This window comes from Homo sapiens, chromosome 6 (genome assembly GCF_000001405.40).
Source record: "Homo sapiens chromosome 6, GRCh38.p14 Primary Assembly".
Classification (NCBI taxonomy): Eukaryota; Metazoa; Chordata; class Mammalia; order Primates; family Hominidae; genus Homo; species Homo sapiens.
Genome location: NC_000006.12, coordinates 147362233 through 147379333, shown reverse-complemented (window position 1 = coordinate 147379333; position 17101 = coordinate 147362233). Strand labels below are relative to the sequence as shown.

At 33.5% G+C, this 17101-nt stretch overlaps 1 protein-coding gene across 11 annotated transcripts in view; it reads right to left on the bottom strand.

Annotated features, from left to right (window-relative positions):
• STXBP5 (syntaxin binding protein 5) overlaps positions 1-17101 on the bottom strand; it is a 186057-nt gene that overhangs the window by 11140 nt on the left and 157816 nt on the right. For all 11 annotated transcript variants that reach the window (XR_007059202.1, XR_007059201.1, XR_007059203.1 and 8 more), the window contains 3 exons: positions 15630-15999; positions 15168-15333; positions 5492-5603 (listed from right to left, as the gene is read on the bottom strand). Coding sequence is in view for 8 of the 11 variants with exons in the window: in XM_047418197.1 (XP_047274153.1) it covers positions 5492-5603; positions 15168-15333; positions 15630-15999 (648 nt within the window). In the remaining 3 variants the exon portion in view is untranslated. The remainder of the gene's footprint in view (positions 1-5491; positions 5604-15167; positions 15334-15629; positions 16000-17101) is intronic.

Here is a 17101-nt window from a genome sequence, read left to right as displayed (position 1 = left end):
GATAGTGAATTAAAAGAAATACTATGGGTGATAGGCAGAGTAATGTCTCCCTTCCCCCATAGATGGCTACATTCTAATCCCTGGAACCTGTGAATATGTCACCTTATATAGGAAAAGGATCTTTGCAGATGTGACTAAGGACCCAGACATAGAGTTCATCCTGCATTATTTAGGTAAGCCTAACCTAATCACATGGGTCTTTAAAAGCAAAGAGTTTTTTTTTTTTCCAGCTGTGGGCAGACAGATGTGGCTTCAGAAAAATAGAGATATGCAAGGTTGTTGGCCTTGAATACTGACAATGGGACCAGAAACCAAGGAATGCGGATGGCCTCTAGAAGCTAAAAAAGGCAAGGAAATGGATTCTCTCCTGAAACTTCCAACAAGAAACACAGCCATGGGAACACCCATAAGACCTGTGTTGATTTCTAACCTATGGAATTGTAAGGTAATAAATTTGGGTTCTTTTAAGCTAGTAATTTTGTGGTAATTTGTTATAGCAGCAACAGAAAACTACACAAATAGTAATTTAAAGTTTTTCATTTTTTATTACTGTTAATATAAATTAAATTTTATTTTTGTATATGATTACATCTAGTGAGTTTGGTAACCTGTTATTTCTAACAATTTAGCTATAGATTCTTTTGGTTCTTCTAAATATGTCATCATATCAATCATTTGCAAATGACTGTTTTGTTTTCTGTTTCGTATTATAGTACTTCATTTGTTCTTCCCTTTCCACACCCTCTAGGGACTTGAAAAGAATGCTGAATGTATGTGTTAATAGTGGGCACTATGTGTGATTCCTAATTTCAAAGGAATAATTTTTAATATCATTTAATGTTCCTGCATTAAGAGTGACATTTGCAATTTAGTTTCTAGGAGTCTCTATCAGGAACGGATAAGAATTTTTTTTTTTTTTTTTTTAATGATAAATCAACTTTGAATTCCTGGTACAAACCAAACTTGGTCTTGGTATATTATCTTTATTACATATTATTTGCTACCTTAATATTTCACTTCAGATTTTCTATCTATAAATGATATTTGTCTTGATTTTTCCTTTCTAATACTATTTTGGTTTTTGGTATCAAGGTTGTGTTAGCCACACAAAATGAGTTGATGAGTGTACCTATTGTTTCCTATCTTTTGGAAGAGTTTGTGTGAGAGTTGAATTATTTTTTCCCTAAATATTTGGAAGAAATATTAGTGAAGCCCAATTTGTACCAGAAGTTTACTTGTAGAAAAGTTTAAAATGATGGCTTCAATGTCTGATAGTTACAGTACTATTAGAATTTTTAGCTTTTTGTCGACTTTCATTGTTATAATTGGTAAAACAATTAAATTCCGTCAAAAATAAAGTTATAGATTACATTCTCTTATTTTTAACTTCAGTGTTATTCCTTTTTTTTCCATTCCTAATAGCATCTACTTGTGCATTTCTTTTTTCGTGCTTCGTTTCAAAAGAGGTTTATCATTTTTATTAGACTCTTAGAGAATCAACTTTGGCTTTTGTTATACACTCAACAGTTATGTCCCCCACCCTCTCCCCTCAAGTCATATGTTGAAATCTAATCCTTCCCTAATGTAATGTCAGAAGTGGGGGCCTTTGGGAGGTAAAAAGGGTATTGTCCTCATCAGTGGGATTACAGCCCTTAAAAAGAGGCCAGAGAGGTAGCTTGCTCTCTTTCCCCCAGGTGAGAATGCAGCCAGAAGGCTGTCTGTAAGCCAGGAATAGGGCCCCCAAACAACTCAATCCTGCTGGCACCTTGATCTCAAACTTCCAACCTCCAGAGCTGTAAGAAATAAGCTTCTGTTGTTTAAAAGCCACCCAGTTTATGGTATTTTGATATAGCAGCCTGAACTAAGACAGCTCTGTTAATTTTTCAATTGTATTTTACTATTTCATTAATACCTTAATCTTTTTTATTTGGTTTATTTTGCTGTTTTTCTAACTTTTTGAGATGAATGCTGAGTTCACTCATTTTCATGTTTTCTTTTTCAAATACTAATACATATTTAAGATTAAAATTTTCACTCTTAAGGATTACTTTAGTTGCATACCAATGGTCATAAATTCTTTGACACAAGGGTTATCCAAAGGTAAGTATATTTCTGTTTTCAAACATGAGGATTTAAACTTATCTTTGTTATTGATTACAAGCATAACTGCACTGTGATCAAACTGTATACACTAAAGTTATTTTAACTCTTTGAAATGTATTGATACAACTGCTTATTATTAAATCTACAATTAGAACTTATGATGATGATTGAGAAACTGTCTCTTCTATTAGCTATGTCAATATTTGTTTTCACATATTTTGAAGTCAAAATAGTAGGTACATTCAAATAATGCCTTAATGTCTAATTTTTCTTATATTAATATAGTTATACCAGCTGATTCATTTGTGATCATGCTTTTCCATCTTTTTAAATTTCACCTTTTTGTGTCCTTATGTTTTATATATGTCCCCTATAAACAATGTACATTTCTGTTTAATTAATTAATTAATGTATTTTTAGAGACAGGGTCTTGCTCTGTCACTGAGGCTGGGATGACAGTAGTATAATCATGGCTCATTACAGCCTCAAACTCCTGGGCTCAAGTGATGCTCCTGCCTCAGCTTCATGAGTAAGTGGGTCTACAGGTGCATACTACCACTAAATTTTTAAATTTTTTGTAGAGACAGGGTCTTGTTATATTGCCCAGGCTGGTCTCGAACTCCTGGTCTCCAGCAACCCTCCCGGCTAAGCTTTCCAAAGTGCTGGGATTACAGGTGTGAGACTCGACGCTGGCCTTTTCTTTTCAAATTCAGTCTAACCATTTTTGTCTTTTAGCTGAAACATTTATTCTGCCTACATTTATTACCATTATTTATATTAAAGCTAAATCTACCATGCTTTATGTACTATCTGTTTATCCCACCTGCTTTGTATTCTCTCTCTCTTTTTGCTTTGTTTCGGAATGACTGTGATTTATCTGCTATTCATCTGGAAGTTATGTTCTATTTTTCTAAGTTTTACAGGTTATCCTATAAATTACATGTGTCCTTATCAATGCCAATGAATACTTTTTACAAGTTTCCCAAAAAATTCAAGAATCTCAGATCACCTTAAATCCACTTACTGTTTTTAAACTCTTTAATGTTATGACATATTTTGGGCTATGTTATTGTCTGTGTATGTGTGTACACACATGCCATACACCTTTATTTTGCAGTTCATAAAGATTATATTAATTATATTTATGCACATCAGTTTCGTTCCAAATCACTGTGTGTCTCTGACATCCCATCCAAGATTATTTTCCTTCTATCTGATGTGTACCCTTTAGAATTCCCTTTAGTGTGATGGCAAGGTTTACTTATTTGTCTAAAAATGTCTCATTCTTAAAGAATTTTTGCGTATAGAATTATGGATTAAATATAATCAATATAATTTTCTGTCAATATACAGAAGATCATCTTACCATCTTTGGCTGTTGAGAAGTCATGTATCAGTCTCTATTTGTTAAAAAATATCTATAATTTTTCTCTAGCCACATTAAAGATTTTCTCTTTGTCTCTGGTGTACTATATTTTAATGAGATTAGTTAATTGAAAATTTTTAAAAACATCATTGGAATTAATTAGGCTTCTCAAATTTGTGGATCACTGTATCAATTCTAAAAAGTTTTCTGACTTCTTTCTTTATATATATATTTATATTTATATATAAGTATTCTTCTTTGCAGTCCTTCCTATTTCCTTCTTGAGAAAGTCTAAACTTATGTTAGATCTTCTCACAGCAACTTCTTTTTTTAATCCTCTCCTACATGTTTTATTTTGTTTCTTTGTGCTGCATTTTAGATGACTTCTCCTAACGTATGTTTAAGTTACATAATTCTTTCTTCACTTTTGTCTAATTTGTAGTTAAGCCTATCTATTGGGTTTTTAATTCTAGTTTTTGAGTATTTCAGGTCTAGAATTTCATTCTGGGTTTTTTCACATCTACTGCTATTGACTTTTACAGTTTTCAGTTACCTGATACAATGTTCAGGCATGATACTGAGCCTCTTGAACACTATAATTATGATAATTATTTTGTAGTCTGTGTTTGATAATTCCAATATGTGAAGTATCTATCCTTCTGCCTTTTCTATTTTATTAATCATGCTGTTGATTCCTAATGTTCCTGGTTATCTATGAGTGGTTTCTGGTCATCTATGTTCCTGGTTATCTATGACTACATATTTGAAAAATTATTTGTAGAGATAATTTGAGGACTTGGAATGCACTATATTCTTTCTGAGATCATTTTTTCATTTGCTTCTGCCAGGAGCTAGGGACTCTAGCAGTCTGGAAAAATCTTAATTAACAATTAGCACTGAAGATTTTACAGGCCACCCAGATATTTGAAGCTGAGCTGAAAGTTGTGAGTGTGTGTGGTGGGGGGAGGTGGGTAGTTTATTCCCAGTTCACCCTTACTCTTAAATTATAGCCCTTTGGTGTCTTTGCAAATAGCAGGAGTTATTTTAGGGTCCCCACTCTTGCCAGGTTGGGGAGCCCATCTTGCTAGCTCTAGCACAGCTTAGTACCTCAGCCTCATTAGCAAAGTACTGCAGAGTCAAAGTGCCCCAAGTTGTCAGGCTCTCCGCTCTGGGCTTCTTTCCCCACAGATAGTTCTTGAAAACTTCTTACTATATGATTACTTCTTTGATGTCTTTAACAAATTTTAGAAATACGTTTTCTGAGTTTTATATAACGTTATAAATTTTCCTCAGTGAGAATTTTATCCCAAATTATCAGTCCCCACTGACTTGAACAGTCTTCATTTTTTAAACTGAACTAAAACTACAGACCAATCATTTGGGTAAGTTTAAAAAAATTTCATTGAACTGCTACTTACTGCTACTTAATGTTACAGTTTTTCCATTAGTCAAACAAACATGAAACAATTCTAAATATTTTAGAAAAAAAAAATCAAAGGATAGATACTAGCTGCCATTCATAAGAAAGGTCAAGCATTCACTGATTCATTAGTTCATTCAAGGACAAACTATTTACTTGTATCAACTACGTGGAAGGTACTAAATGAACCAGAAGGTTTATCTTATGATGAAGGTTAAATGAACTAGAATAGTTTTAGAGGTTTTGAAAGACAGATTAAATGTTAAAGTAAAAACTTTTTCAAAGTTAAGGTTATCAGTTAAAGAAAATCATAGCATTAACATAACATAAAGTAAGTACTTCCTACATTATTTACTTAAAGTTGTGAATACTACTTTTTAGTAATCAAAAGTTATTCTGATTTTGATATTTCCTTGAGTAAAGTATTTCCCTGATTTGGGATAGAATAACAGAAAATAATTTTATGTATTTTGTTAAAACATGGAAATAGTAATTGTGACAAAGAGAAAAAAAGTGAACATAATTTACACGTATAAAAAAATTTTTGTATGGCTTGTTCCTGTTTTATAGATATATTATCCGAATTAAATAAATCAACTTACATAGTTCTTCTCTGTCAAGAGATTGTGCACCACCTCCAAATAAGCCTTTAAAGAATCCCCTGTTTGGTGCTTCAGGTGTTTCTACAGGAGTGAAGAGTTCACCCAACATTTCCTTTAAAATCAAAACAAATTGTCACTGTTGAAATTTCAGGGAAACTAAACTATAATGAACAAAAGTATCACTGTAAACTCCTTAACTTAAGCTCAGAACATTACCTGTTGAGATTCACAATTAATGAGTACATGTCCTACGATCAGATACAGAACGTGCTGATTTATTCAAACAGTGTTTCTAAAACTAAAATATGACTTATTTGCTGCTTGCCCCTTTGTTTGCATTTTAGGCAAACAGTATTTTTGCTTAAGAGTGTCAGGAGATTCTAATCTTTCAGACAAAATTTTCATATAACTCATATCAATTGATAATAGGATTAATAATTACATTAGAAAGAAGTTTTTTTTTTTTTTTTTTTTTTTTTGAGACAGTCTCACTCTGTCACCCAGGTTGGAGTGCAGTGATGCGATCTTGGCTCACTTGCAGCTTCTGCCTCTGGGGTTCAAGTGATTCTTGTGTCTCAGCCACTGACTAGCTGGGATTACAGGCACACGCCACCATGCCTGGGTAATTATTGTATTTTGTAGAGACAGGTTTTGCGCCATGTTGGCCAGGCTGATCTTGAACTCCTGGCCTCAAGTGATCCACCCACCTCAGCCTCCCAAAGTGCTGTACAGGCATGAGCCACCATGCCCAGCCAGAAAGAAGAAAACTTTTTAACAGCAAGTATAAAAGTCCAGTGTAATAATGATGATATGTAGTTTTGGAATTATAACTTTTAGCTGAGTCAGAAAATTTATAATTTAGACACCAACTTCTTTTCTCATAAACACATGCTAGGAAGAGAATTATGCCAACATACACCTGGAATTTCAGAAATCTGGCAGAGAGATGGGAACTCTTCCCTTGTACATCATCAGATTTTTCTGAAATTACTGTCAATATTTTTTAGAGTGCAGAAATGATAAAAGGAGAAAAGACTGCTGACATGTTACTGGTTTTGTTGACAATACAAAAAGAGGAAAGAAGAGTTTTTCTAAGACAAGGATGGTAGTGACTGGGCACGGTGGCTCACACCTGTAATCCCAGCACTTTGGGAGGCCGAGGTGGGAGGATCATGAGGTCAGGTGTTCGAGACCAGCCTGACCAACATGGTGAAACCCTGTCTCTACTAAAAATACAAAAATTAGCAGGGCGTGGTGGCCTGCGCCTGTAATCCCAGCTACTTAGGAGGCTGAGGCAGGAGAATAGCTTGAACCCGGGAGGCGGAAGTTGCAGTGGGCAGAGATTGCACCACTGCACTCCAGCCTGGGCAAAAGAATCTGTCTCAAAAAAAAAAAAAAAAAAAAAAAAAAAAAAAAAAAAAAAAAAAAAAAAAAAGGAAAAGGACGGTAGTAACATTTATATAGGAGTTCTGCTATACTCTGGTATTACTACATCATTATAGTTGGAATAAAAGTATGTATTTTTCAGGGTTTCTTCCTTGGGGCTGGGCTAAGAAGGCTGGTAAAGGCTGTTCAGGTTTTCTTTTAGACATATCCATATTAACATTATCCCTCCACCCAGATTGCATATGGGAGGAAATAATTATTAACATTACACAACAGTTTTATTTATAAGACTGAAGTGGACTGAAGCTCTTACGTTTTTATTTTCCTTCCTCTGGATTTCTATAAAGTGTAGTAAACCTGGAATAAAACACTTTCTGAATTCAATAAATCAAACTTGTTAAAACCCACTATAGAATATACTGATGTCTATTATTATATTGAATTTATATTAAACTCTATAACAAAGGCAATTTTAGGCATATTTTAAATCTTTTAAAAACAGTATTTCACAGATCCTAATTTAAACTATATGTATTAAATTGTTACAACGTAAAAAAGATCAATAACAGCAACACAGCTATCATTTGGGTGTCTCATGCTAAATCAAAAGAAGAATATGACATACCAACAGCGATAGTTTAAAGGTATGCTTTTTAAAAAATTTTACCTCATTTTTAGAATTACAGTTTGCATTTCTTATTTGGTGTTTAATGAGCTTACAATTTTACAAGGGTAAAGTAAGAAATATAAAAACACCAGATTAAACTCATTATATTCTCTGTAGTAGAATGAGTATAAACTTTGGAACCAGATGGACCTGGATTTGATTCTCAATTTCTGCCTTTTACTAGCAGGAGACTCTTAGTCAAATTAGTCTGTCAAAGAAATGGCTTCTTCAACTTTAAAAGGGGGAGATAATGATAACTGCCTCTCAGGAACATTACTAGGATTAAAGATAATGAGCATATAAAGTGCCAGGAGTAGACATCAATAGTGTATGTACAGAAGTAGAAAAATCTATCACATAGAGATGAAACCAATTAGAAAATACACAAGTCATTTATCTACAGGTTAACATTATGAACAGACATCTTTAAAGGGAGTTGAAAACTCAATGTTTCTTAAAGTCTAGATTATCTGCAGTCTTAATATAAAGGTTTTGGGAAAATACATAAAATATATAGGTATTTTTTCACTTCTATTTAAATAAGGCTTTTTATTATAAGTAAATCTACTATTTAGAATGATTCATGTTAATGCTAGTGTATGTTGGTGAAATCTAAAACAGATTTGTTATTTCTGTGATCTTGCTACATCTATTCATAGTAGATGGTATTTCTGAAACAAGACATTGGACTTAATTACTCTTCTAAAATATAAATATTCAGAAATAAATATACTTGTCTGATTTTAGACTCTTGCATATCATTTGTCTTGCATGTAAGCTAACAAGGTTAGAATGGTAAAATTTAGGACTAATTTCATGAATGGGTCAATGTATGGGCTTTGGTTATCCATACATTAGATGCCACTACAAAGTCCTTTACAGTGCATCAAATAATCACTGATTTTAATCATTTTAAGAAAACTTTATATTGTAAGAGTATTGAGTCTGAAAAAATAAATATCTCCAGGATAAACACACAGCAATAAACTTCATACTGAATACACAATATATATAAGAAGCTAAACAGTTCAACTGTCATCAGTTGTTTACAGTGATTACTTGGGGTTTTGTTTATAAATTATAATCCTGAGGTGCTTACCAGAGTTACTTACTTAGTTGTTTTAAACTGAATTAATTGGTATGTTCCACCTCTACGATTATAGCAAATTTTGGTTAGGGTTCACAAATGAATATATTATAGTCCATTTGAAAAAAACAGTTTATTATAAATTATCTCTGTGTTTTTCACTATGGTACAGTTAAGAATAATACTGTAAAAAGAAACTTAAGTATTTCAATCTATAAACATACCATTGACTAATTGCCTGTCAATGACAATTAAAAGTCCTGAATCCATTAATCTTTTACACAGCTTTACTGAAGTATAATCGACATACAAAAACTGGCATATATTTGAGGTGTACAATTTGGTGAATTTCGCCATATGCATATATGCATGAAACCATCACCACAATCAACACTGTGAATATATCCATCACTCTCAAGTGTCCTTCTGCTCCTTTGTACGACCTTCTCTCATTCCTTCTTTAACAACCCCATATCCAAGTTATTGCTGATCTGCTCTTTCACTATAATTTGTATTTTCTTGAGTTTTTATATAAATAGAACAACATGTACTCTTTTTCTTGGCTCCTTTCATTAAGCATAATTATTCTGAGATTCACTGATGTTGCTGATTGCATCGTTTACTCCTTTGTATTGCTGACTAGAATTCTACTGTATGATAAACTGCAATTTGTTTTTCCACTCATCTGTTGAGGACATCTGGGTGGTTTCCAGTTTTTGGCTATTACAAATAAAGCGGCTATGAATACAAATTTCCTTTTCTTTTAATTTAAAAAAAATGAGTAAAGTGGCTGGGTCTTTGGTTCATGAATGTTAACTTTTTAGAAAACTCCAGAATTGTTTTCCAAAGTGGTTATAGTTTTTTACATTCCCATCAGCATTGTATGGAGTTGTAGTTCGTCTATATCCTTGCCAAAACTTGGCATGGTATTCTTTTTAATTTCAACCACTCTCAAAGGGGTTTAATGGTATCTCACTGTGGTTTTAATTTGCAGTTCTCTAATGATAAATAATGTTGAGAATCTTTTCATGGTGAGCTTTCCTTTTGAATATTTTGTCTATGTTTTTATTGGGTTGTTTCTCTTCCTTCTGGTGAGTTTTAAGGGTCATTCATATATTCTAGAGACAAGTCCTTTATTAGATATATGTTTTGCCCAGATTTTCTTCCCATCTATAAATTGTCTTTTCATTTTAAAAAGTGTCTTCTGAAGAGTAGAAATTTTAAGTTTTGTTGAAGTTATCAATTTGTTCTTTTATGGATGTTGCTTTTGGTGTCATGGCTAATAAATCTTTTCCCAAAATAAGGTAACAGATGTTTTCTTAAGTTTCTTTCTAGAAATTTTGTAGTTTTGGGGTTTCCATGTAGGTCCATAATACATTTTGAATAAATTTTGGTATATGGTGTGAAGCGTGGATCAAAGCTGATTTTTTTTGCATTTTAATATCCAATAGTTCCAGCACTACTTGTTGAAAAGGCAATCCTTTCTCCATTGCATTGCCTTGCGCCTTCCTTAAAAAAATCAGTTGTCCATGTATGTGTTTATTTCTGGATATTCTATTCTGATCCATTCATCTCAATGCCAAAAATACCATTCTCTACTGATTACTGCAGCTTTATAATAATCTTGAAATAAGGTAGTGTTAGCCCTTCCATTTTTTTCAGAGCTGTTTTGTGTATTTTAGTTCTCTTGTATTTACGTATGAATTTTAGGATAAATTTGTCAATTCCTACAAAATTTTCTAAAAAATTTTTAAGACTTTAAAAAATTTTTTATTAATATTTTATAGTTTTTCAGTGTAGAGATCTTTCATTTTCTGTTAGATTTATCCCAAAGTATTTCATATTTTTGTTGCTATTATAGATGGTATGGTTTTTAAAATATCAATTTCCAAATGTTCATTGCTAATATATAGAAATAAAATTATTTTTGTATATTTATCTCATAATCTACATCTTTGCCAAACACACTGATTAATTCTAGTATCCTTTATGGTAGATTTTATTAGATTTCCTATACTGATGATCATGTCATTGTGAATAAAGACAGCCGCTTTCCTTTTCTTTTCCTTGCCTGAGTGCACTGGTTAGAACCTTAACTACAACACTGAATGTAAGTGGTGAGAGTGAACATTCTTCTGTAATTGCTGATTTCAGGGAGAAAGAATTAAGTATTTCATCACTAAATATTATTTGAGATGTGGGTTTTTCTTACATGTCCTTTAAGTTTTCTTCTGTTCCTTGTTTGTAGAGATTTTTAAAAATCAGGAATATTTGTTAGATTTTGTCAACTGCTCTTTTTTAAGCTTTTTAATAAGATGGATCACATTGACTGATTTTCAAACGTTAGGTCAATCCTACTTTCCTGGGATTAGGTCTCACTTGGTCATAATGTATTATCCCTTTGATATATTGCTGAATTCAATTTGCAAAAATTTTTTTTTTTTAACAAATTTTGCTTTTATATTTATGAGAGATATTGGTTTATAGGTAGTTTTCTTTTCTTATAATAACTTGGTCTAATTTTGTTATCAGGTTAATGCTTCCTTCATAGAATAAGCTGGGAAGCAATCCTAATTCAGTTTTTGGAAAAGTTTGTGAACCGGTGTTATTTCTTCCTGAAATGTTGATAGAGCTCATCACTGAAGCCATCTAGGCCTGGAAGTTTCTTGGTCCAAGGTTCCTAACCTCTATTTCAATTTCTTTAATAGACACAGGACTATTTCGGTTATCTATTTTTTTTTCAGTGAGGCTTGGTAATTTGTCTTTAAAGAAATTTGTCCATTTCATCTAAGGTTTTGAATATTTTTGGCATAAACTTGTTCATAATATTCACTTTTTATCCATTTCATATCTATAGAATATATAGTAATGAGACTTCTCTTATTACTGATATTAATAGTTTATAACTTCTTTCTTCATATGGCTTGAGATTAATTTTATTAGTTTTGATTTCATTGATGTTTTTCTATTGTTTCTTTGTTTTCCACTTGGATGTTTATTATTTTTTTTCTTGTGTTTACTTTGGGTTTAATTTGCTTTACTCAGTTTTTGTTTTTTTGTTTTTTGAGACAGAATCTCGCTTTGTCACCCAGGCTGGAGTGTAGTGGCGTGATCTCAGCTCACTGCAAGCTCCGCCTCCCGGGTTCAAGCGATTCTCCTGCCTGAGCCTCCCAAGTAGCTGGGACTACAGGCACCCACCACCACGCCCGGCTAAATTTTTGTATTTTTAGTTGAGACGGGGTTTCACTGTGTTAGCCAGGATGGTCTCGATCTCCTGACCTTGTGATCCACCCGCCTCGGCCTCCCAAAGTGCTGGGATTACAGGCGTGAGCCACCACGCCTGGCCTTTTCTCAGTTCTTTAAAGTGAAAGTTGACATCATTGCATTGAGACCTCCTTCTTTCCTAATATAGGTGTTTTAGTGCTATAAGTTTGCCAAGTTCAAACACTGTTATTTTTTTCTGTTGCTATACTTTCAAGTACACTATCTTTTCTTCTGTAATGTCAAATCTGCTGTTAATGCCATTTAGCATATTTTTCACCTCAAACACTACAGTTTCTCATCTTTAGAAGTTTGATTTTATTTTTGTATCTTTCATGTTTCTAACTTTTTGAACATATGGAACGCAGTTGTTATTGTTTTAATATCCTTTTGTGTGCCAATTCTGGTATGTATGTCAGTTCTGGTTTGGTTTCTGCTAATTGTTCTCCTCATGATGGCTCATGTTTTTCTGTCTCTTTCCATGCCTGGTAACTGACTGGACACCAGACATTGCGATTTTTACCTCACTGGGTGCTAAATAGTTTTTATTTCCTTTAAGTTTTCTTGAATTTCATTCTGACAGAAAACATTTTCATCCTTTTGATTCTTGCTTTTGCGATTTGTTAGGCATATCTGGAGTAGTGGCTGATAACGGACCATCCAAGGATATCAGGTCCTAATCTCTGGACCAACAAATATTACCTGGCAAGGAAAAGGAGTCTATGCAGATGTGATTAAGTATCTTGCTCTGGGGAAATTATTCTGGACTACTGAATGGGTTATAATCCAATTACAAGTGTCTTTTTAAGAAAGAGAGGTAGATTTGACACCCAGAAGAGGAGGTAATGCAGCCATAAAGGCAGAGATTCCAGTGATGTGGCCCAATGTCAAGGAATACCAGCAGCTCCTAGAAACAAAGGGGCAATAAGTAATTATCTTTTAGAGCCTCTGGAGGGAGCAAGACCCTGCTAGCACATTGATTTTGCCTCAGTAAAACTGATTGTGGACTTCTGGCTTCTACAAGTATGAGCAAGTAATTTTCTACTGGTTTTAGCCACCAAGTTTGTGGCCTCAGGAAACTAATATCCACACAAATTATGGGTTTCTCCAGTCTGGTTGTTGGGATCAAGCACTGTTCCTGGAATGGTTTCTACAAATCCTCTATTCCTTTCAGATGGTTCTTTTTCTGCTCTGAAAGCTTAGTCACGTGTACGTGCTGAATAGCACGTATGGTATACTCAGGGGGACTCTGCACATCTCCAGGGTTCTTTCTCTTTGTAGCTCTTTTCTCTCGAATTTACCTGGTGTCCCCAAACTCTTGTTCCTGCCTCTTCAACTTGGGAAGTCTGCCAGGCTTTAACTTAGTACCTTCGCCCTGTGCCATGTCCTGAACACTCTATTAAGGCATTAAAGCTGGGACACCTTCTTTGATTCCTATCTGTCAGAAATTACTTTCCTTCATTGCCAGATGTCCAGTAATTTGAAAACCATTGTTTCATGAGTTCTGTCTGCTTTGTTTTAGGTTGTTTCAGGAAGGAGGGTTAATCTGGTTCCTATTATTCCATCTTGACTGGAAACTCCATAAATATTTGTAGGCATCTTCTTTATTTTGGGCTAAAGTTGAAGGAATGCACAATGTAAAAGGGTACTCAGGGAACCAAGGTATAGTGTTTATCAAGTTCATCATAGTCTTCAACAGATTTTACCAAGGCATTATTTCTGGGTACTAAAAATACAAAGGTAAATAACATGTCAATATTGCCCAAAGAAAACATTTTATCACAAGTTCCTTTAAGATAGTCCATTTTTTGTTTATCTCTGTATGATGAAGGCACATAGCAGATAGTTTAAAATATAGTTTACTACTAAAAGACTATTTCATTTAAACATAAATGAGTAAACTATGGCTGCTATTAACTTAAGAATAATTAAAGAAAACACCAACTAAAGGATAGAATAAATTGATCCCAGAAAAGTGTGAAGTTTAGATTTTCAAGTAGTTGAATTAAGACCACATTTCAGATGGAAATGAATTAATATTCAATTGTCAATATTATTTCTTAACATAACATTTTGCTAGTGAAAGGAAATGCTAAAAGGAAAATTTTAAGGTTTATCCTTCCGACAGAAAACAAAATTTTACTTCAGAAACTTAGGAATCTTTGAAAAATAACTTTCACCCAAACATAAATGGGAATTTAAATCTAATGTCAGATATGTAATTTTGTTTTACTCTCAAAGTTTACAATACTACTCAGGACTAGGTTTCCAGTATAGTATAGCTTACTGAAATAATAACACAACGAGGACAACAACATCTGACATTTATTAAGCACCCTCTGTACCAGGGGCACTATGCTAAGCACATTACATGCACTGTCTCCTTTAATCCATATCATATCCTCTGAGATACCACTTCTATGCTAATTTTAAAGATGATGCTTAGAGTCACTGAGTAACTTGTTTATGATTACATAATTGTATAGTTAGCAAGATGGACTTGAATTCAGCCTTCTTGACTCTAAAGCTCATGTTCTAAAAATAATAAGCCACAAATTCAAATTTGCAAATGTGTAAAATAGGGCTAAATAATTGCAAAAACTTTCATTATAAAGTTCCTCTAGATAGTACTTTCCTCTAAATATCAAATATCAATCAATATTTTAGCTCAATATTTCCAGAGCACTTTTACTTTGGAAGGTAAAGCTAAACTGATCACTTCGAATACACACAGAAGCACATACAGCACTCAAATACTTAAAAAAGGACACATTTCTGTATATAAAGAATTTGTATATAGTCTCTCAAAAACAGATCAACCAACATACTAGAGGAAAACTACCAAATAACATTTTTTTCTTCTGTGTAAATATCCTTGTGAATAGGAGTTGAGATTACAAAATTTGCCCGAAAATAGACTCATTTATTTTCACATTAACACACTTCTTTAAAAAGGACTGTGTGTGTGTATAATAGATATTTATTCTATGTAGAGAGTAGTTATAAAATGTATGCACCAGTTCATATTTCTCTGCCATCACTGGAAAGACCGATATGGATTAGTAAGATGAAGCTGCTTATAGCAGATGTCTGAAGATGATACTTTTAATCATGGGAGTCTCAAAGCATGTGCTCTGAAAGTCTAATTCAACAGTCTGGATTTTCCCAAGCAGGCTCACTTGTATAGTTCCATGAGAATAAGGGGCAGACAGTATACGGGCCCTCAGAGAATACTTTACCTCTGAAGAAATTACAGTAATATTTTTATTAATTACCTGAAGATTTTCACAGGTCTCTTGACTATAAGTAAGTCTCTGGATTTCTGTAGGTGAAACAAGGTATAATGCTTGTCCATTGTTGGTAAAGCAGAACGTTCTGGCTATCCGCATATTGGTAAGGGGCAAGTAATACACATCCAACAGAGGTCTTAAACTTGGCAAACTTGAGAAAAAAATTAAAAACTTGTTAATAATAAGGTAGGTTTTAGTCTTGAACACACTATCATTGTTAAAAATGGCAGAGACCTCATAAATCTTATGATTTAGTTTGTATACTTGAGTGGGAGATAAAAAATGGTTTATACTCCTCATATACTTGTTCACTATTAACAGAATAAAAATAAATTCTCAGAGTATAAGACTATACACACACAAAAAGCATTTCTTTTAAACAATTCTGTAGTATAGTTTGAGGGAGGAAATGCTATATCTGTGTTTTAAAACATATCTAACTCTTACCTAAAAGTCATTATATGTCCATTGGCACAGAAACAGGCAAGGCAGATACTGTTACTCAATGCTACAATATCTCCACGAAGCACAAACGAGGTCTCTGTAATATTTTGCTTATAAGCACAGTTCTGGGTTGGCAGTGAGATTACTTTTGCTTGCTTTTCAGAACATATCACTGCATACTGGTTTTCACTAATTTCCTGAGAAGAGGAGGGGGATACTGAGACAGGCCGCCGTTTTTTCAATTTCTCCTTTTCGTCTTTTTCTTCAGGAACATTGTGCTCTCTCCAGGGTTCATACGCAGGTGGTATTAAGCAGCCTGTGGTATCCAGAAATGCCATTCTCAAGATTGCACCTTTTAACCTCAATATAGTACCTAAAATATAGAAGTCTAGTAAATAACTGAAATATTTTAATCAACAGAGTAAACACGTTTATTCTAACTTTGACATACAGTAGATACTTAAATATATGCTGAACGCATATTGAACTGAACACTGGCTCATTGACAGGATTCGGACTTTAAGCGTGGTATTTATGAGTCTGGAAAAAGATGTCAACTTACATGCTCCAAATAGATAAATGCCACTAATGATCACTCACAATTTAATTACATATGATAAATTTTGCAAACACATATCTGATCTTTAAATGAATAAACAAACGACATGCTGGAGTATCTGGAACTGTTTTCTCTTATACCCAGTAAGTGCACTACCAGTCAGCAGGAGAGCAAGTGGATAGCACCTGGAGCAGTCAGTGTGGGGCCACATGTGGCTGCAGAGCACTGGGAACGCGCCTTGTCCAAAGTGTGTGAACAACTGCAGCGCATGGTGAGACTCAAGCACATGCCCCATCTGAAGACTTTAGCACTCCAAAAAGTTCAATGTAAAATGCCTCAATCACTTTCAATAATTACATGCCAAAATGATAATATTTGGGACACAGTGGACTAAATAAAATGTTATTAAAATTAATTTCACCTGTTTTTTACTTTTTTAATGTGACTGCTAGAACATTTAAAATTATTTATGTGGCTTTGCATTGCATCTCTAATAGACAATACTGATCTAGATGGCCAATGAAAAAAAATTCACACATTTCCAACCATTACCTCTAAAATCATAATTCCTCTTAAATGATTTACAACAACTGTCAAATATACTTAAGGCATTATTTTGGTCAGTTTATCATCTTAATGTAGGGGTTACATTTTTTGACTTGCTTCAGTTAATGGTACCCTTTCCCCCTATATCCTTGATAATGTACAAATATGCTTTATGCTCACTTCTGAGTAAACTAAGTGATAACATTAATGGAATGGAAGGCAGGGTAGATAGCTGAGTTAGCATTCAGTTCTTAAAGATTTTTCATATTTTGTTTTAAATTTATATAAGGTTTTATAGCTTGCAGTATTTTTTCCACATATTATTTTCTTTTATTTCTAAGAAAAAGAGTTCCTGATGTTTTCTCAAAAC